Source organism: Homo sapiens, chromosome 2, assembly GCF_000001405.40.
Source record: "Homo sapiens chromosome 2, GRCh38.p14 Primary Assembly".
Lineage (NCBI taxonomy): Eukaryota > Metazoa > Chordata > Mammalia > Primates > Hominidae > Homo > Homo sapiens.
The window spans coordinates 109586554-109608739 of record NC_000002.12 but is presented as its reverse complement, the minus strand read 5'-3'; the positions used below and the strand labels follow the sequence as shown (position 1 = coordinate 109608739).

The 22186-nt window shown below is 41.8% G+C and overlaps 2 protein-coding genes across 36 annotated transcripts in view, besides 1 other annotated feature; one reads left to right on the top strand and one right to left on the bottom strand.

Moving 5' to 3' along the window:
* Nucleotides 1–22186, bottom strand: part of RANBP2 (RAN binding protein 2) — a 1122820-nt gene that overhangs the window by 233562 nt on the left and 867072 nt on the right. The gene's annotated exons all lie outside the window — the stretch shown is intronic.
* The window catches only part of SEPTIN10 (septin 10), a 71168-nt gene that overhangs the window by 5227 nt on the left and 43755 nt on the right, over nucleotides 1–22186 (top strand). For 21 of the 35 annotated variants that reach the window (NM_001321510.2, XM_011510702.3, NM_001321499.2 and 18 more), the window contains exon 2: nucleotides 15621–15689. The exons of 11 other annotated variants lie outside the window; for them this stretch is intronic. In NM_001321510.2, coding sequence (NP_001308439.1) covers nucleotides 15621–15689 — 69 coding nt within the window. Of the gene's footprint in view, nucleotides 1–15620; nucleotides 15694–22186 lie in introns of all 35 variants that reach the window. 3 more of the 35 variants (NM_001321509.2, XM_011510700.3, NM_001321501.2) reach the window with 1 other exon arrangement.
* Nucleotides 13472–13972: an enhancer, noted in NCBI's record as "H3K4me1 hESC enhancer chr2:110352345-110352845 (GRCh37/hg19 assembly coordinates)". NCBI's record gives its function as "activates a minimal SCP1, AML or CMV promoter by ChIP-STARR-seq in primed H9 embryonic stem cells {active_cell/tissue: H9 hESC(primed)}" and the evidence as "EXISTENCE:reporter gene assay evidence [ECO:0000049][PMID:30033119]".

Genomic DNA, 22186 nt, shown 5'->3' with positions numbered 1-22186 from the left:
TGGAGGAGGAATCATGTATCTCATAGTCATAATGACGAAAGTAAAATATTTTAAATTCTAATGTTAAATACCTTAAAACAAATATGATTTAATAGCTTGGGATATAGCACTTATACTTTGTTGGTATTACTTTTAGTAAATAGGCTACCTGGTCAGGCTCCCTGGTCTGTGCCAGGTAGGATGGGCTCCCCAGCCCCTCCTCACTAGTTTCAGCCTAAGATCATATGACCAAGGAACTTACCAAAGATAAGGTAGAAATGTGGCTATTCTCTGATTTCCTTTACCTTCCTCCCTTAAGAATCAGATCAAGTTTATCCTGCCCTCTGTGTGGTCTGTATTTATGGGGATAGCAAGAAAGTCCTATTGTCTTAGAGTGCGTGTTACATAGAAAGAGTTCACAAATTGTGAAATATTAGGTAGGGAGTATATTGATGGATACCTTGAATGTTCTGTGAGTGTCCATGAGAAAACTGTATCCCAGTCTCTCATGGACAAATAGAAGCTGTGCATGGTGACATTTTTCCTTAGCTGCATATATACTATTTGGCAGGAACATTGCCTTGAGCTCTAAATTAGTCCAGAATTACTCAAATGATTTTTGAAAATTAAAATAAAAAGCTGCTTTTGTTATAAAAGACCTTTAAGAGGATAGTTGACTAAGTTTAATTCTATGTGTATAGATGAGAAATGTTCTCACTGACAAATTAGTAGCTAGTTCTGCTCAATCTGAATGAGTCACGGCTTCAGAAACAGACATTGAACTTTTCCCCATCTCCAGCATAATCTTCAGTTTTTTTTCCCATTTGCACTGCATGAAATCTACTTTATAGAAAGTCCTTTTGTCGTCTTATAAAAGTATAGATACCTCCAGACAAGTTAGTCAGTGGGTGACTTTCCTAATGCCTAGGGAGATCCTGGGAATCAAGGAAGTCAGAGTTTCCCTAGGGGTGAACACAGGTAGGTAGTTTTGATTTAGGGCAGGTTGGGTGAGAAGTCAGGGGAGGAAAGACTAAACTTTGCCTTTTTCAAGGTTTATCTAGAACAGTGTTTCTCAACATTTTTTCATTATTACCCCCTCAGGAGAAAAATTACATTTAAATAAAATGTAATTAATAACAGATTTAATTTTTATTAAATTAGCCCAGGTAATTAAGTTCTCCCTAATGGGAGGAATCCAGTACTAAAGAATATACATTTTTCAGATAAGGTTGAGCTTTGGTGAGGGCCACAGACCATTTGTTTATTTATTTATTTTTGTCCTCCCAAGAACCGATTTCTGCTCTCTTTAGGGGGAGAGATAATACAGGTACTGCCCCCATTGAGAATGCATGATCCATGGTTAGCCATCCTAGCAATAGGGCAACATATGTTTTTTCTTCTGAGTCTGCTACTAGATTTGAAAACAGTCTAAGACTAAATACTCTGTACATTATAAGTTAAATGAGGCATTCAAGAACTTACTCAGGACCTTAGCTGTTTGTAATATTGTTTCTATGGAGACTGTAGTCTTACTCCAAGCAGCTTACTAATATGAATTTTTGGAAAATACAAATTATTTGTGTGATTATGATTTATACTACCTTTAAATAAGTAGAATGAAAGCTTTTTACAAAAAGCTCAATATTGAGCTAAATAGTAAACGAAGCGATGGCCATGGATTAGCGGAGAAGAGCAGGCTAGACATTTTAGACAGGAAGAATATTCACTGTCTGACACTGTTTATATGCTGAAACTTAAAATAACATGAGAAGCCTTTCAATTCTTCACTATTCATGAAAGAAATAGCTTTGCTGGGCGTGGTGGCTCATGCCTGTAATCCCAGCACTTTGGGAGGCTGAGGTGGGTGGGTCACCTCCGGTCAGGAGTTTGAGACCAGCCTGGTCAACATGGTAAAACCCTGTGCCTAGTGGTGCGTGCCTGTAGTCCCAGCTACTCGGGAGGCTAAGGCAGGAGAATCGCTTGAACCTGCGAGACGGAGGTTGCAGTGAGCCGACATTGCACCACTGCACTCCAGCCTGAGTGACAGAGTGAGACTCCATCTCAAAAAAAAAAAAAAAAAAAAAAAAAGCTTAAAATTTTTAGTGCAATTTTTTTTTTAATAAAAGGGAACTTTTTAGCTATTATTTTCAACTTTTAGTGGCCTAGTAATCTCTGAAGATCTTTGCAGGTAATAAAGTAGTCAAGATATATTTTTCTGTGGACTTGTCCTTTATGGCTATAACTATGTCCACTATGGTAATTGAATGCTACCAGATGCTGAAGTGCATTCACCATGGCAAGTACTTCCCTTGTGTTATCACATTTTATTTTTTATTTTTTGTTTTTTGAGACAGAGTCTTGCTTTGTCGCCAGACTGGAATGCAGTGGTGCAGTGTTGGCTCACTGCAACCTCTGCCTCCCGGGTTCAAACGATTCTCCTGCCTCAGCCTCCGGAGTAGCTGGGATTACAGGCATGTGCCACCACACCCAGCTAATTTTTGTAGTTCTAGTAGAAGCGGGGTTTCACCATGTTGGCCAGGGTGGTCTCAATCTCTTGACTTTGTAATCCTCCCTCCTTGGTCTCCCAAAGTGCTGGGATTACAGGCATGAGCCACGGCACCCGGCCTGTGTTACCACATTTTATTCTCCCAGCCCATGAGCTGAGTACTGTTATCTCTAGTTTTTTGGATGAGATGCAACTTTCACACATCCTTGCACAAAATGTCTTTTGTTTCCTCCATGTTGTCTTTGTACCTCCTTGCCCCAGACCTCATTCCAGGCTTTGGCAGTTCTTAATGATGCAGCATTTTGCATCTGTTGCTACTATACAGTTAATTCTAACAGCCTTCTTAACATACATTTATACTGATGTCATGCTAACTCTTCTTCTTTGTGACATGGATCATTGAGAGAATTTCTGGGGGCTCTCTGTTTTGGTAGAAGATAGGCTGCTTGTCACATAGTAACAGAAATTCTGTTGTATAGAAAAGAATTATAATTTACAGTTTCCATGTAACTCTGAGGACTAAAGAACCTAATACAGCATTATAATTTGAACAGTTGGAGAAAATAATTTTGTTTTGTATTTGCATATTTTGCTATATATTTTCTTTTTTGTTGATTACAAAAATTATACAGATATTATTTAGCTTATCCTCAGGTATTCTGATTAGCTTTTTTAGCTACACTTTCCCATTTACCTACCTTTTAGTCAGAAAATTATGTTATACTTTTATGAATTAACTTTGTTATTCAAGTACAATTTATTTATTTATTTATTATTATTTTTTGAAATGGAGTTTCACTCTTGTCGCTCAGAGTAGAGTGCAGTGGTACGATCTCAGCTCACTGCAACCTCCATTTCCCGGGTTCAAACGATTCTCCTGCCTCAGCCTCCTGAGTAGCTGGGATTACGGGCACCTGCCACCATGCCTGGCTAATTTTTGTATTTTTAGTAGAGACAGAGTTTCACCATGTTGGGCAGGCTGGTCTCAAACTCCTGACCTCAGGTGATCTGCCTGATCATACTAGTAATATGGTATAATTATATTCAGCCCAAAAACTAAGCCTGACTGGCTTGATGAATTAAGCTGAATCTTTAATGCTCTTATCAGTGTAGAACAATTCAAGTCTCAAGGAATCAATGGAAACTTCAAGAGAAGTGAGAATTACCACTGGGCCACGTATATTTGTTTTTGATAATGTAAAATTTTACATAAAAGTTCTTTGAGGGATCCAAGGTGCTCATAGGAACCTTAAACTCAGTAGTTCCAAAGTTGCATCAAACCTGTGCTGATTCCTCTCCTATTCTCTTTCCTGCTTCACAGTGACGTCTCTCCAGTGACCTTAGTTTGAGTCACTTGGACTCAGAATCATGAAGTCAGCTTCTTGCAGCCTCACCTTTTCTGCTGTCCTTGCATTTACATGTAAGCCTCCTTGGGCTTCAGTGATGAGCTCACTGTGATTTTCCAACCATACCAGTTATATTTGTACCCTTGGCACACGCAGATTCCACTACTGTGTTGTCCCTCCCCTCCCCTCCCCAGAGTCTCGTTCTGTCACCCAGGCTGGAGTGGCTCAATCTTGGCTCACTGTAAGCTCCGCCTCCCCGGTTCATGCCATTCTCCTGCCTCAGCCTCTTGAGTACCTGGGACTACAGGCACCCGCCACCATGCCTGGCTAATTTTTTGTATTTTTACTGGAGACAGGGTTTCACCATGTTAGCCAGGATGGTCTCGATCTCCTGACCTCGTGATCCCACCCGCCTCGGCCTCCCAAAGTGCTAGGATTACAGGCCTCAGCCACCACGCCCGGCCTCTTTTCTTTTCTTTCTTTCTTTTTTCTTTCTTTCTTTTCTCCCCGCCCCGCCCCTCCCCTTCCCTTCCCTTCTTTCCTTTCTTTCTTTTTCTTTCTTTCTTTCTATGGGGTCCCGCTCTGTCACCCAGGCTGGAGTGCAGTGGCGCAGTCTCAACCACTGCAACCTCTGCCTCCTAGGTTCAAGCAATTCTCCTGTCTCAGCCTCCCAAGTTGCTGGGATTACAGGCACACACCACCACACCTGGCTAATTTTTTTTTTAATTCTTTTTTTTTTTTTTTTTTGAGGCAGAGTCTCGCTCTGTCGCCCAGGCTGGAGTGCAGTGGCATGATCTCGGCTCACTGCAATCTCCACCTCCCAGGTTCACACCATTCTCCTGCCTCAGCCTCCCGAGTAGCTGGGACTACAGGCATCTGCCACTATGCCCGGCTAATTTTTTTGTATTTTTAGTAGAGATGGGGTTTCACCGTGTTAGCCAGGATGGTCTCGATCTCCTGACCTCGTGATCCGCCCGCCTCGGCCTCCCAAAGTGCTGGGATTACAGGTGTGAGCCACCGTGCCCGGCTTAAAATTTTAATTAGAGACGGTTTCACCATATTGGCCAGGCTGGTATCGAACTGCTGACCTCAGGACCCACCACGCCCAACCTGTCTTGTCTTTATTTGCTAGGAAATTTCCTGTTTCTTCATCAAGTCTCTGCTCAAGCCTTTTCTTGCCAGTGCTTTCTCTGACTATGTAGATTTCATTATACCCTGAGTGTCTTTTCCAGATTTTTAGTTGTATGTATGTCTCCCAATTGTACTAAGATTTAAATTGCAAGGATATTGATTTATACAGCTTCGATCCACAATACCTGGGGTCTGTTATTCTGTCCTTAAAATGTAAGGCTTTAAAAATAATATTATGAGGCCGGGCGCGGTGGTGCACGCCTGTAATCCCAGCTCTTTGGGAGGCTGAGGCAGGCGGATCACGAGGTCAGGAGATTGAGACCATCTTGGCTAACAGGGTGAAACCCCATCTCTACTAAAAATACACAGAAAAAAATTAGCCAGGCGTGGCGGTGTGTGCCTGTAGTCCCAGCTGCTGGGGAGGCTGAGGCAGGAGAATGGCGTGAACCCAGGAGGTGGGGCTTGCAGTGAGCCGAGATTGCGCCACTGCACTCCAGCCTGGGTGACACAGTGAGACTGTCTCAAAAAAAAAAATAATAATATTAATAATGATAATAATAACATTATGTACATTTGTGGAGTAAGTGAAAAACAATAAGCATTGATAGACTTCACACTGATTCCTAAGTATTCTTTTTTCCCAGATGTTCCTGTCAACTTTAGGTCCTTTTAATGCTTTTTTGTTTTGTTTTTTTTGTTTTGTTTTTGAGACAGGGCCTTGCTCTGTTGCCCAGGCTGGAGTACAGTGGTGCAGTCACAGCTTACTGCAGCCTTGACCTCCCAGGCTCAGATGATCCTCCTGCCTCAGTCTTCCAAGTATCAGTTTCCACAGGTACACACCACTGTGCCTGGCTAATTTTTTTTTTTTTTTTTTTTGAGACAGGGTCTGCCTATGTTGTTCAGGCTTTAAGTCCTTTTAATGGGTATCTATTTCTCTTCCTTCCCCTTTTCTTCAGCTCCTCTCTCATTTGCTTTTCCTGGGCTAAATAAATGACTTCTCAAATTTCATTGGCTTTTCTGTCACCTAGCCTGCATGGAACATGCTCTCTTTTGAAGGAATTCGAGCCATCTAGTAATCCTTTTTTTTTTTTTTTTTTAATTTGAGATGGAGTTTTGCTTTTGTTGCCCAGGCTGGAGTGCAATGGTGCGATCTCGGCTCACTGCAACCTCTGCCTCCCAGGTTCAAGCGATTCTCCTGCCTCACCCTCCCGAGTAGCTGGGATTATAGGCATGCGCCACCACACTCAGCTAATTTTGTACTTTTAGTAGAGATGGGGTTTCACCATTTTGGTCAGGGTGGTGTCAAACTCCTGACCTCAGGTGATCCACCCGCCTTGGCCTCCCAAGGTGCTGGCATTACAGGCGTGAGCCACCGTGCCCGGCTTACTTTTTATTTAAATAAGCCTTGAGATTTAGTTCCACAGGGTCTTTTCACATCAATAAGATGCAATTTTATTGTCTTAATCTTAATTTTATTGTCCTTAATCTCCCTTTCTGTTCATGCAGTTTCTGTAAGTTGTTTTCATTCTTCACATCACAAACTTTCTCTCATTGCTTGTTCCAAGTTATAGTCATAAAATCTGAGTTGAAAGGGATCTTAGAAAATTGTTACCTTTGTTACCCACTTAGTACGGAAATCAGCTCTGTAGTATTGATAGGGGTTACTGTGCCGCTGTTGGAACCCTTCCAGGGTCTGAGCTCAGTGCTTCCTAGGCAGCTCATTTCTCTGTTAGACAACTTGAATCCTTCAGTCATTTCCCTTCCTTGTGTCAAAATCTGCCTCACTAGTCTATTCATGGGTCCTGGTTTTTCCCTCGGGAAGCGCATTTCCATATGACGGACTGAATATACTTTGCTGTCCCTTAATCCTCTTATGCTGCGGTAGGCTAACAACATTGGGAAAAAGTCATATTTCCTTGACTCATACAGTGCTAGAAAGTAACTTGTAGAGTATTAGAAAACTTAATCTGTAAGACATCATAAAGGAAGATTTAGTTGCTTTTTTTTTTTTTAACTTCAGGGTGTAGAAAGATATTTTGAGCTTTATATTTAAGGAAGAAGCCGTAAAGAAAAAGATTTATAGTTTAGTCTTTATGAAAACTGGAAGGGTCAGTAATAAATCAGGAAAAGATATTTATGATACACATGACAAGCAAAGAGTTATACTCAGCAGCTCTTACTAATAAGAGAAACAAAGAAGGAGTACCCTGATAGGCAAGTGGGAAAACATGAATTGGTGATTTATGGAAATATAGGAGAAATGGCCAGTAAGCTGAAAAATGTTTAAAATACTAGAAGTTAAATTAAGATGTTAGTTTTGCCTGTCAAATTGACAGAAATTTAAAAATTGTTAATACCCTGTACTGATGAATATATAATGAAATGGACCCTTTTATACACTTGTGTTTATTGTGAAATATGTATTTGGTCTTTGACCCCTGACATACAACTGCTGAAATCCTTAAAACTTCCAAAGTGATGTCTTTTGTATGCTAATGAGATGACTGGTGGCTGGCAGCCCCTAGGTAGCTTAAGGATGGGGCTGGTCACCAGAAAGAACAAGGCAAGATTAGAGGGTTGGGACTTTCAGTTTCATCCCCCAGTCTCTAGGAAAGGGAGAGGGGCTGAAAGTTAATTGATACCAGTGACCAGTGGTTAATCAACCATGCCTGTATAATGGAGGCTCCTTAAGAACCAAGAAGGACTGGGTTCAGAGAGCTTGCAGATGGCCAAACACATGGAGGCTTACACACATCCATGTGTTGGGAGGGTGGCATACCCTCCTCCATGGGGACAGAAGCCCCTGGGCTTGGGACTCTTCCACATGTTGAGCTTTGTATCTCTTTATCTGGCTGTTTATTTGTATCTTTTAAAATATTCTTTGTAATAAACTGGTAAATGGAGCAAATGAACAAATTAATTGAACCCGAGATGGGGGTTGTGGGGACCCTGATTTCTAGCCATTTGTTAGAAGCATTGGAAAATAACCTGGGGCTGGCGATGAGCAGAGGTGGAGTGGGAATGGGGCAGAGTCTTGGGGACTAGCCCTCAGTCTGTGGGATCTCACTCTATTGCCAAGTAGAGAAGTCAGAATTAAATTAGAGGGCACCCAGCTAGTGTCTACTACAAAACTGATTGCTTGGTGGGTGGGTGGGAAAAAACTTCCCACATTTGGTCACAAAATTATCCTGTGTTGTGTGAGAGCAGAGGAAAAACAGTTTGTGGTTTTTTTTTTTTTTCAACTCATTGCTAATATTAGAAATATAAGCAGGTAGGTCCAGTCTTTTTGAGGGGCAGTTTGGCAGTATGCTTGGAACAGGAATTATATTCTAGGAATTTATCATGAAGATATTGTCAGATGCACAGAATAATTGATGGTTATACAGGTGAGTTGGGTGGAATTCTGCAAGCAGACATGTAGGAGGAGCTAGCAGTGTAGGAGATTTCTTGGAGATGAGGGGCAGGGGTAGTATTGCCTGTGAAAGTTGAAGAGGGAAGAAAGCAGGACATGTGGGTGCTGGGGAGAAAGCCTTCAGGCCCTGATCCAGATCTTAATAGCCGTGCAAGGAAAGAAGGGAGGAAGCCCAATTGAGCAGTGAGAGCTGCAGAACCGTGTGGATCTGACAAAGTCTGGGCCAGGCAGCCCTGACATCCCTACTGTGCCCAGTCTTCAACTACCAGCTGCCTAGGGAGAAAGTGGTCTTGGGTCTATACTGCAGCAGATTCCAAAGGCTCTACAGGTGGAGACGGTCAGCAAGCTGCAATCTTTGTAGGCCACAGGACTAGGTATTGCTTGAAGGGAGAATCAGAATGGCGCACCTGTTTGGCTGCCATGAGAGGAAGTTCGTTGTAGTGTTAGTAAAATAGCACAAATTGGAACATTCATTGCAGTGTTACTGAAACAGCACAAATTAGAAATGATATTTTTTCTATAATAAATTTCTAATTAGGAGGAGTAATTTTAAAATAAGATTGCATTTGTATTTTAAACTGTCATTGTTATGGTGCAAGCTTTTGTTAAGCTTGAGACTCTTAACTCTTTTATATGAACTGCTATCAAGAATTTCCCCATCTTGATGATCTTTTGAGACTAAAAAGTAGAATTTGCAGTTATCCTTTAACTTTTGATGTATTTGTTGGAGTTTGATGGTATAATGGAGGTGCTATTTTGCTGGGATTGGACAACCCTAAGCCTTGCTGTACTGACACCCTCCGGAGGATATGCAAACAGGCCATGCACACTGGAGGCCAACTTGCTGCTGCCTTATCTTGCTCACTCTTGGTAATTTCACTTGAGTTCTTTTTTTTTTTTTTTTTTTGGAGACTGAGTCTTGCTCTTTTGCCCAGGCTGGAGTGCAGTGGCACAATCTCGGCTCACTGCAACCTCCGCCTCCTGAGTTCAAGCAGTTCTTCTGCCTCAGCCTCCCAAGTAACTGGGATTACAGGCACACACCACCACGCCTGGCTAATTTTTGTATTTTTAGTAGAGAGAGGGTTTCACCATGTTGGCCAGGCTGGTCTCAAACTCCTGACCTCAAGTGATCCACCGGTCTTGGCCTCCCAGAGTGCTGGGGTTACAGGTGTGAGCCACCGCGCCCGGCCTCCACTTGAGTTCTTTTTTTTCTGGGTTGTAATAAGCATCCACTTCTAGCAGTGTGGTCTGCATTAGCTTGAATAACTGAATGTTACTACTTGTTTTAAGAAAATTTTAGATCACTGTTAACCTGTAACTTTATTTTAACTTGAATTTTCCCTTAACCTGAAGATGTTATAAAATGATTTTAAATAATGAGTCTGTGGAATCTTTCAAAGTATTGTTTCAAGCCAAATACCCCACCCTCCTGAAACTCATAAAATAGGCCCAGATAATAATTTTTTTTTTATTTTTATTTTTTTTTGAGACCTAGTCTCACTCTGTCACCCAGGCTGGAGTGCAGTGGTGTGATCTGGGCTCACTGCAACCTCCGCCTCCCTGGTTCAAGCAGTTCTCCTGCCTCCTGGTAAATGGAACAAATGAGCAAATTAATTGAACCTAGCCTCCTGAGTAGCTGGGATTACAGGCATGCACTGCCATGCCTGGCTAATTTTTGTATTTTTAGTAGAGATGGGGTTTCACCATGTTGGCCAGGCTGGTGTTGACCTCCTGACCTCAAGTGATCTACCTGCCTCAGCCTCCCAAAGTGCTGAGATTACAGGCATGAGCCACCACGCCCGGCCTCCCGATGATAATTATTTAGGCCACTTTTTGCTTTTTGTTCTCTCTCGCTCTCGCTCACATTATCCTAAAGAATGCCAAAAAAGACCTCATAGAATCCCAAGGGACAGTTTAAAAACTTTGGTTCTATATTTTGGACTAACTTTATAATAATAAAAATTTTGGAAAAGTGAAGTTAAAGTCAAGTGATTATAGGGCCGGGCGCAGTGGCTCACGCCTATAATCCCAGCACTTTGGGAGGCTGAGGTGGGCGGATCACCTGAGGTTGGGAGTTCGAGACTAGCCTAACCAACGTGGAGAAACCCTGTCTCTAATAAAAATACAAAAGTTAGCCAGGTGTGGTGGTGCATGCCTGTAATCCTAGCTACTCTACTTGGGAGGCTGAGGCAGACAAATCGCTTGAACCCAGAAGGCAGAGGTTCCAGTGAGCTGAGATCACGCCATTGCACTCCAGCCTGGGCAACGAGAGCAAGACTCCATCTCAAAAAAAACAAAACAAAACAAAAAAACATAAAGCTAAGTCAGGATTCTGTTTCCTGAGGCTCATTGGTCTGCTTAAGGGGTGGCTGTAAGGCATTTTCAGAAATGTTTCCCAGCAGGGTAAGGAAAATTGTTACCTAGGGGCCTGTTGGAAAAGAAGCATCAGAAGTTTATCTGTAATTGGTGGACAGGAAAAGGCCATATTTCCCAAGGGCCCTAGGATGAATTGTGTGTCTGTCACATTGCCTGTATCCCACAAACTGAGATTTTAAAAAAGGTGCAGCACCAGACTTTCCTCCAGCTATCCCACGTCTGGCACTTCTTTCTAGGATTCATAGATAATACAACTTTTTAAAAAGTATATGGTAGACCTTGCTAGGAGTTAAGTTACTGTATGGGATTTTTCCTTTTGGAAAGTAGGTGTGTAGATTTATATATGGTTTTGTGTGTGTGTGATATATATGTATCTTTAAAATAGAAGCTACAGGAAAAGCAAATTGACTGTGTAGTCAAAGGTGGTTTGAGATGGTTAGTCTCCTTACCCCCTTGTGCGTTGAAACGAGATTGTGGTCACCTATTGTGCATTCATGTTTCTCTGAGACAGAGTCACAAGGTCCAGGACCATGTCTTACTACTGTTGAGACTGCGGAGCCTAGCTGAGTGGTTTACACATACTAAGTGGGTGGTCAACAATAGAGCAGGCCAGAATTCTTGCAGATTTTTAATTTTTTTCTAATTTAGTGTTTCTTAGCCCTACACAGAGCTCTGTTTGCCATTAGAGGGATTCAGCCAACTCTTGTCCTATTATTACTTTTCCTGCTAATTTATTAAAAACCTTTTCCAGCCAGGCACGGTGGCTCATGCCTATAATCCTATCACTTTGGGAGGCTGAGGCAGACAAGTTGCTTCAGCTCAGGAGTTCGAGACCAGCCTGGGCAACAGAGTGAGATCTCGTCTCTACAAAAAAATTAGCCAAGTGTGCTGGGATGTGCCAGTGGTCCCATCTACTTAGGAGGCTGAGGCAGGAGGATAGCTTGAGCTTGGGAGGTGGAGGATCTCGGCTGTCAGTCGAGATCATGCCACTGCACTCCAGCTTGGGTGACAGAGCCAGAACCTGTTTTAAAAATAACTAAATTAATAAATTTTAAAAAAATTAAGAAAATCTTTTCCAGTATTAAACTTGTTTTGGAAATTTAACTGACCAAGTAGTACTAGTGGAAAATATTTGAAATAATTATTCATATTACTTTAATGTGACTCATTTAAACTTACTAATCAAAACATTTATCCACTGAGATTTTAAGTAGGCTTTTTGGCCAATGTTCAGAAACACAGTAAATGAATAAACAAAAGCAGATATTTGATATGAACTTACATAAATGACAGAAATTTAACCTATATTTTATTTAAGTTTAATGGCAAATGAGTATAAAGCCTCTAATTTTTTTCTTTTTTTTTTTCTTTTTTTGAGATGGAGTCTCGCTGTCTGCCAGGCTGGAGTGCAGCGGCGCGATCTCTGCTCACTGCAAGCTCTGCCTCCTGGGTTCACGCCATTCTCCTGCCTCAGCCTCCCGAGTAGCTGGGACTACAGGTGCCTGCCAGCACGCTCGGCTAATTTTTTGTATTTTTAGTAGAGACGGGGTTTCACTGTGTTAGCCAGGATGGTCTTGATCTCCTGACCTCATGATCCACCCACCTCGGCCTCCCAAACTGCTGGAATTACAGGCGTGAGCCACACCATGCCTGGCCTAAAGCCTCTAATTTTTTTCTAAGCAAATTTTACTTATCAACACTAAGCAACATTTCACCAAAACTCATGATATGCTATCATTATATTAAAAACTAAAAACCACTTTTTTACCAGTAATTTTTAAAGTTTGATTTTCAGCCGGGTGTGGTGGTGCATGCCTGTAGGCCCAGCTGTTTCGGAAACTGAGGTGGGAGGATCGCCTGAGCCCAGGAGGTTGAGGCTGCAGCGAGCTGTGATCGCACCACTGCACTCTAGCTTAAGCAATAGTGGGAGATCTTTTCTCTAAAATAAAATAAATATTAAACTTAAAGTTCTATACTTGACAAGTCAAAATAATATAGCCTCAGTGAATTATATGTGTTGTGCATCACTTATAGTAGACACAGATGCTGAGAGGCAAGCAGGTAGTATGTTAGGTCCGGAATTAACGACAAGCATGGAATGTTCTACCCTCCTCCTCATTGTGTCTAATGCAGAGCTCTGACCAGGGCCCCTAGCCAGATATTATCTGTGGCACTTAGCCTTTAGCAGAAAGTCAGACTCTAAATGGACATTTCTGGTTTACTCAGTCTGCCACTCAGGTATTGTCTCTAATCTGTTCGTTTTTTCCTTCAAATTCTTACACTTACTGTACTTTCTCCAAGTACGAAATTCTGCCTTCTGGTGTTTAGGGATTTTTTTTCTACCTTAAATTTCTCATCTAGATTTATACCTCTTTCCTGACTCACTTCAAAGTCATTTTCTTCTTTGACTCCTGCCTTCAGTGATCTCTAATTTCTCCAAATTTCTGTAACCACCACTGTTTGTTTCCAGGGGCTCTCACTTTGTTTCTGTCCTACAGACTAGAGGGACGTGATACTGCTTAGGTACCACATGATGACTGGGACTGGGGGGCCTTTCAGAATGGCAGGGTGTAAGTGAAGTATATGTGTAGTTAAAAGCTAAAGCCTGAAGCCAGGTATTAAAATCAGGCTAGTCTCTGATGTGCTTTGTATCATTTACATACTTTTTGCCTTTTAGATTGTAAAAACACAATCAGAACCGTTGTGTCCCTCACTGAGCTTTTGCGTGCTTTTAAATAGGAGCATCTTCCAACTGACAAGTGTCATTTTGTGTTGGAAAAACTTAGGATTTGAAAACACTGTTGGCTGGGCGTGGGGGCTCAGGCCTGTAATCCCAGCACTTTGGGAGGCCAAGGCGGTAGGATCGCTTGAGTTCAGGAGTTTGAGACCACCCCGGCCAACGTGGCAAAACCCCATCTCTACTAAAAATACAAACATAAGCCAGGCGTGGTGGTGCTTGCCGGTAATCCCAGCTGCTCGGGAGGCTGAGGCAGGAGGATCGCTTGAATCCAGGAGGCAGAGGTTGCAATAGCTGAGATTGCACCCCTGCACTCCAGCCTGGGTGACGGAGTGAGACTCTGTCTCAAAAAAAAAAAACACATTGTTATTCGGAGTGTTCAGTCACAAGGTCAGCCTATTTTATCAAAATGTACCAGCAAAAGATTGTTGTTAGCATATATGAAATTTAGTCACGATGTACACTATTTTGTCTCTGTAAGATTTATTCACTGTGTATGTGTGTGTGTGTGCATGTGCGTGTGTGCATGCGCATGCGTGCACGCGCCCGCACAGAGGATCACGGTGAGGTGGTGGGAGCACCCAGGTTCTCTCTTTCATTGCAATGCCGTTTGTTGCAGCATGGTTCATTGTAATTGCAGAGGAGAGGACAGTCTCAATGAAGAGCGTCGATATGTATACACCACACTGTAGTATACAGAGGAGAACACTGTGCTGTAGAAAGAATGAGGTAGATCTAAATACTACTGCGAAACAGTCTCCAGGAGAGATTCAGCAAAAAAAAACCACAGTGCAGAGCAGTAGACAGCTACCATTTATATAAACAAAGGAGGCCTGCTTAGACATGCACAGCCTCTCTCTGGAAGGATGCGTAAGGGTCTGGTGCCTCTCGGGAAGAGCGCTGAGCTATTAGAGAATCAAGAGTGGGAAGGGAGTAATTGTGCACTGTATTCTCATTGACACCATTTGCAATTTTTTTTTTACCACATTCATATTAATATTGTTTTTTAAATAATGTGACATTTCCTCATTATCTTGTGCTGTATTCAGAAGTAGGATAGCAGTACCTTGGAATTAGTACAGTTTTTCTTGTACCTCTCTTCCCTCATTCTCTACTGTTGCGAACAGTGAATATCCATTTGGTTTACAACTTGAGGCAGTAGAAGGAACACCAGTTTGGCAGTCAAATCAGACCTGTGTCTATACACTACTGGCTTGTATGATTTTGGGTAAATTACTCAACCTTTCAGAATCTGAATTTTTTCATCTAGGCTGTGGGAATGTTAATATGTATAGCTCAGATGTATTGTAAGGATTAAATAAGAAAATAAACTTAATGAGCTAGCATAGTGATATGGACGTGTAATATGAGTTCTATAAATGATTATTTTAGTGACTAAGGTACTTGTTCAAATTATAAAATCCCTGCTTTCCCCACCACACCACAATTGTAGCATTCTTGACATTTGTATTTCCTCTGACACGCTGCAGTGGAACATACCTGATTTTGAGGGACTTCTTGGCTCTTAGAGTATCTTTAAAAATGAAAAGGCCAGGCGTGGTGGCTCATGCCTGTAATCCTAGCACTCTGGGAGGCCGAGGCAGGCCAATCACGAGGTCAGAAGTTCGAGACCAGCCTGACCAACATGGTGAAACCCCGTCTCTGCTAAAAATACAAAAATTAGCCAGGCATGGTGGCGTGCACATGTAATCCCAGCTACTCAGGAGGCTGAGGCAGGAGAATCACTTAAACCTGGGAGACGGAGGTTGCAGTGAGCCGAGATCATGCCATTGCACTCCAGTCTGGGTGACAGAGCAAGATGCCGTCTCAAAAAAAAAAAAAAGTTCTTTCTCTCTCTACTTGTAAATGGAAGTTTACTAATTTCATAAAATTTTTTTGTGTGCAAGTATATTACTGTATATGTTGAATATTATATGTAATTTACTTATGTAGATACCTATCCAGCAAGAAAGCCACAATTTCAAACACGATTCAATAATGTAGACTACACATCAAAACTTGGTGATAACAACATTATTATAACACCTTATTCATGTAAATATATTATTCAGATAATGGGGTTTGGGGAGTAATGTTTCTGTTTCCTTTTAAGCCTTTGTATTCCTTTTTTAGCTCTTTCAGTCTCACATGGCAACGAAAACAACTTGTATGTCTTCACAAGGATCAGATGATGAACAGATAGTGAGTATGTCTTTTAAATAGATACCATATTGTACTCTAAATGCTTCTATGATTTTAAAATAACTACTTGGAGTGCTTATAGACTCTTGTGATAGAGACTTCTGTTTGTACTTACCTCCAACGTGAATTAATTTTTCTGTTGATTCAAGTGAAAAGTCGATGATGGATTGAATAATTGAGTATCCACAATATTCTTAATTGAGTATCCACAATATTCTGACATTAAGGAAATTTTTTTTTCTGTTTCTTTTTTCGTTTCCTTTTTTTTTTTTAGACAGAGTCTTGCTCTGTCGCCCAGGCTGGAGTGGAGTGGCATGATCTCGGCTCACTGCAACCTCTGCCTCCCGGGTTCAAGCGATTCTCTTGTCTCAGCCTCCCGAGTAGCTGGGATCACAGGTGACCACCACCACGTCCGGCTAACTTTTTTGTATTTTAGTAGAGATGGGGTTTCACCATGTTGGTAGGCTAGTTTTGAACTCCTGACCTCAAGTGATCTGCCCACCTCAGCCTCCCAAAGTGCTAGGATTACAGGCCACTGCGCCCAGCCCTATTTCTTTTTATCATTCGTTGTTTGTTTTTGTTTTTTGAGACAGAGCTTTGCTCTGTCGCCCAGGCTGGAATGCGATGGTGCAATCTCAGCTTACTGCAACCTCTGCCTCCCGGGTTCAAGCAATTCTCATGCCTCAGCCTTCCAAGTAGCTGGGATTACAGGTGTGTGCCACCACACCTGGCTAATTTTTGTATTTTTAGTAGAGACGGGGTTTTGCCAGGTTGCCCAGGCTGGTCTCGAACTCCTGGCCTCAAGTGATTTGCCTCCCTCAGCCTCCCAAAGTGCTAGGATTACAGGCGTGAGCCACCACGCCCGGCCGTTATTTGTTTTTTGAGCACACTGCAGAATGTGGTGGGTGCATAGAACTCCTGTGAATGGCAGAGTTTAGGGAGCCCTTGGGTGGTCCTGCCAGCTGCCTCCCTGATGCAAGATTACACCTTATGCTTCTAAGGGTCTGTGGGGAGGGGTTTGGTAATTCATATTGAAATTTGTATTTAAAAATAGGAAGTAAATCTGGTGAAAGAGGTGAGTAACTAGAAAGAAAATTACAAATACAAACATAGGTAATTCAGTAAGTTGTTTTTTATTTTGTTTGTTTTTGAGACAGGGTCTTGCTCACTCTGTTGCCCAGGCTGGAGTGCAGTGGTGCAATCTCGGCTCACTCAACCTACACCTCCCAGGTTCAAGCAATTCTCATGCCTCAGCCCCCCAAATAGCTATGATTATAGGCATGTGCCACCACACTCGGCCAATTTTTGTATTGTTACTAGAGACGGGGTTTTGCTCGTGTTGGCCAGGCTGGTCTTGAACTCCTGGCCTCAAGTGATCCATCTGCCTCCGCCTCCCAAAGCACTTGGATTACAGACGTGAGCCACCACACCTGGCCAGTAATTCAGTAAGATTAAATAATTTCCTTTAGTTCTGTGCTCCAATAACTGTAGTCTCTTGTTTTTCCCTCTTTCTCCATATATCAATGGTACTAACAGTCTATTCCATCTTCCTCACAGACTTTTTGAATGATGTTTAATCCTCCAGAGATTACTGTCAGAGTCACTAGTAATCTTTAGTGACTAGTCCATCCAGTGGCTGTTGCTTGGTTTCTTTTTCCCTGGCCCCTCTTTTGTGTTACATCATGGGGACCACACCCTCATTTTTGAAATGCTTTTTTCCAGTGACATTAAAATCCTGTCATTGTAGAACTAAACTAGAAGGGATCCTAGAGGCCATTTAGTTCAACTTTTATGTAATAAGCATATGCCTATCAGATAACAACTTTAACAAGTTATGAAGTTCTTACCATCTTGAACACTTTCACGAGGAAGAAGCCTAGTGCTTCTTCAGTGCTCTTTAAAAAAATATGAAGATAACATGCTTACATGACTAAAAATGATTCAAATGGCACAAAAGAGAATATAGTGTACTAGTTTTCTGTTGCTGCATAACAAATCGTCACAAATTTAGCGGCTTAAAACGGCATCTGTTTGTTAGCTCTCAGTTCTATAGGTCAAAGGCCAGACGTGGCCCATCTTCCTTCTCTGCTCTGGGTTTCATACTCAAGGGGTCAGCTGCTGGGTTCTTATCTGGAGGCTTTCCTTCCATACTCTTTCTGGTTGTTGGCAGAATTCAGTTCCCTGCTGGCTGGGGGTTGTTGTCAGCTCCTAGAGACCACTCCATTCTGAAAGCCAGCAAGGGAGAACTGGCAGGTGGAGTTCTCTTCATGCTTCATGTCTTTGGCCAGGAAGTGCCCAGGCCCTGTTAAGGATTTACCTCATGGCTGGGCATAATGGCTCACACCTGTAATCCTAGCACTTTGGGAGGCCCAGACGAGTGGATCACCTGAGGTCAAGAGTTCGAGACCAGCCTGACCGACGTGAAACCTTGTCTCTACTAAAAATACAAAAATTAGTCAGCTGTGGTGGCAAGCACCTATAATCCTAGCTGCTCGAGAGGCTGAGGCAGGAGAATCATTTGAACCCAGGAGGCAGAGGTTGCAGTGAGCTGAGACCACATCATTGCACTCTAGCCTGGGCAACAGAGCAAAAACTCTGTCTCAAAAGAAAAAAGGAAAAAAAAAAAGGATTTACCTCATTAGGTCAGGCCCAACCAGGATAGTCTCCCTTCCGAAGACTGACTGGTTTGGGACCTTAATCACTCTGTAAAATCTCTTCTCAGAGACACCTAGGTTAGCGTTTGATTTAATAACTGGGAGAAAGTTTGTGTGCACCAGGGGCATCGGTGTTAGCGACCATCTGAGAATTCTGCCAACCATATACAATAAAAAGCGATTTCTTCTCACCCCAACCTGTAAGTCTACTGCTGACTGGTAACCACTCTCAATAGTCTGTCATTACCCTTCGAGATATTTACATCTGTATGTGTGTATATATATACATACATATATATGTGTGTATATATATACATATATATGTGTGTGTATATATATACACACACATATATATGTGTGTATATATGTGTGTGTATATATATATATGATTATGTGAAAAATGCACATAATGCATATTTTTAAAAACTCTGACCTCAGTAAATAAATCACTATTGGGATACCTAGCTAGTCATCCATGTTGTGACACGTATCAGTAGTTTAGTATACTACAGTTTGTTTATCTATTCACCACTTGTTTGATATTTGGAATCTTTCCAGTTTTTGACCATTGGGAATAAAACTGCTGTGAACATTGATGCATAAGTTCTTGGGTGGACATATGTTTTCATTATTTTGGATACCTCCAAGCGGGTTTTTTTTGGCTATATAATAATATGTGTTTAACTTCATAGGAAACTGCCAAGCTAGTTTCCAAAGCAACTGTACCATTTTGCAGACTAGCAAATTTATCAGCATTCCATTTCTTCATTATCTCCAACACTTGACATGTTCAGCCTTTTAATTTTAGCTGTTTTATTGGATATTCAATGTTACTTTTTATTTATTTTTATTTTTATTAATTTTTTTGAGACAGAGTCTTGCTCTGTCTTCCAGGCTGGAGCACAGTGGCAGGATCTTGGCTCACTGCAACTTCCGCCTCAGGTTCAAGCGGTTCTCATGCTGTAGCCTCCGGAGTAGCTGGGACTACAGGCATGCACCACCATGCCCAGCTATTTTTGTATTTCTGGTAGAGATGGGGTTTTGTCATGCTGGCCAGGTTGGTTTCAAACTCCTGGCCTCAAGTAACCTGCCTGCCTTGGCCTCCTAAAGTGCTGAGATTATAGGCATGAGCCACCGCACCTGACCTGACCACTTGAACCTGGGAGGTGGAGGTTGCGGTGTGCCAAGGTCGCACGACTGCACTCCAGCCTGGGTGACAGAGTGAGACTCCATCTCAAAAAAGAAAAACAAAAAACAAAACAAACCAACAACAACAAACAAACAAACAAAAAAACCACAAAAATTACCCAGGCGTGGTGGCGCCTATAATCCCAACTACTCCAGAGGCTGAGGTGGAAGAATCACTTAAACTCGGGAGGTGGACATTTTACATTTTCTTGATAACTAATTTTCTATATGTGCCATTGTCCTTTCATTTTCTTCTTTCCTACCTTCTTTTGGATTAATAGAGAATTTTTATGACTCAATTTCATTTCTGCTTTTGGCTTATTAGCTATACCTCTTTCGCTTTTTTTTTTTTTTTTTTAATAGTAATTGACCTAGGCTTTAACTTACCACACCCAACCTTCAAATAATATAATATTTTAGCCTGGCATGGTGGCTCACGCCTGTAATCCTAGCACTTTGAGAAGCTGAGGCAAGTGGATCACCTGAGGTCAGGAGTTTGAGACCAGCCTGGCCAACACGGTGAAACCCCATCTCTATTAAAAATACAAAAATTAGCCAGGCGTGGTGGGCGCCTATTATCCCAGCTACTCGTGAGGCTGAGGCAGGATAATCCCTTGAACCTGGGGGGCGGAGGTTGCAGTGAGCCAAGATCATACCACTTCACTCCAGCCTGGGCGAAAGAGCAAAACTCCATCTTAAAAAAAAATTTGTATATATAACACTTTATGTATACTGTAGAAACCTTATAACAATATTCCTTCAGTCCTCCTGTATTTTGTGTTTCTTATACATTTTACTTGTGCATGTAACCTGTAACACATTGTTTTTGTTACTGCTTTAAACATTTGTATTTTCAAGAAGTTAAAAAAAACCTCTCTTACATTTACCCACATATTTACCTTTCTGATGATCTTCATTCCTTTTTGTAGATCTGTTGTCATTTTCCTTTCTCTTGAAGAACTTTGATCATTTTTTATACTGTGGGCCAACTGGCAGTGGATTTTCTCAGATTTTGTTTATCTGAAGTTGTCTTCATTTTGCCTTCATTTTTGAAGGATGTTTTCATTGGCTGTAGAATTCTACGATGTCTTTTTTTTTTGGCGGGGGGCATTTTATAGGGGTCATTGTTTTGTCTTCTGGTTTGCATTGTTTCTTAAGCAACATCTGTAGCTCACTGCAATGTCCGCCTTCTGAGTTTAAGTGATCCTCCCACCTCAGCCTCCTGAGCAGCTGGGATTATAGGTGCCACCACGCCCGGGTAATTTTTGTGTGTGTTTGTTTTTGTTTTTTTTTTTGGAGATGGAGTCTTGCTCTGTCACCCAGGCTGGAGTGCAGTGGTGCGATCTCAGCTCACTGCAACCTCCACCTCCCAGGTTCAAGCGATTCTCCTGCCTCAGCCTCCTGAGTAGCTGGGACTACAGGTGCGTGCCACCACACCTGGCTAATTTTTTGTATTTTTAGTAGACACAGGGTTTCACCGTGTTAGCCAGGATGGTCTCAATCTCCTGACCTTGTTATCCACCCGCCTCGGCCTCCCAAAGTGCTGGGATTACAGGCGTGAGCCACCACACCAGGCCTAAAGTTTTCATTATCCTTGTTTTTTAGCAGTTTGCTGTGATGTCCCTAGATGTGAGTTCCTTTGGATATTTCCTGTTTGTAGTTTGCTGAAATTCTTGTATCTCTGAGTTCAAGTTTAGAAAATTAGAAAGTTTTCAGTCACTATTATTTAGATATTTTTTTCCCTCCCTCCTACCCCCCACTTTCACCTTCTCTCTTTCTCTAACTTTTCTCCTTGTATTCCAATTACTGGTATGTTAGATCATTTGATACTCTCACACAAGTTTTTAAGACTGTCATAGTTTTATCTTTTTTCTTTCTGTGAGATTTTTAGCTTGGATAATAACTATTGAACAAATCTGTCTTCCATTATTTGATCTGCTGTTAGTACTAAATATATTTTTTACTTCAGATGTTGCATTTTTACATTCTAGAAATTCTGTCTGCTGCTTTTTGTCGTTGCGAGCTCTTTCATATCTTTCTGTAATTCCCCGTCATGCCACCCATTATATCCATCTTTTTCCTGTAGATTCTTTAGCATATTTGTTATCATTATTTAAAGTTCTTACCTGCTAATTAAACATCTGGTTCATTGTGGCTCTCTTTCTGTTGACTTTCTTTCTTGACTGTGAATCACATTTTTCTGTTTTTTTCCTGTCATAATTTTTTTATTGTATAGTAGATACTGTAGAGATGCTAGATTCTGTTTTCTTCTTCTGCAGAGTCTTGAACTTTGTTCTAACAGGCAATTAAATTGCTGACTGATCACATTGATCATGTTGAGCCTTGTTACAGGCTTTGTTAAGGCAGGTCTGCTTCAGCTGTGCTTTCTGATTGCTGAGTTATGGACCTTACTCCTAAAATGTGGCCCATCTAGGGTTTCAGTAGAAGGCCTAGGGTGTTTACAGGAGACTCTTTAACTTACAGGCTTAAAATTTAAGCTCTGTCCATCTCTCCAAGATGGCACTTGAAAACTCTGCATAGCTCCTCCCAATTCCCATTTTCCCCCTTCTGGGATCTTTGTATTCCCTCTGTATGTGTGCAGTTTGGCCATCAGCCATGGATTTGAGTGGAGTGTGTTTGTAGATTTTGGACTCC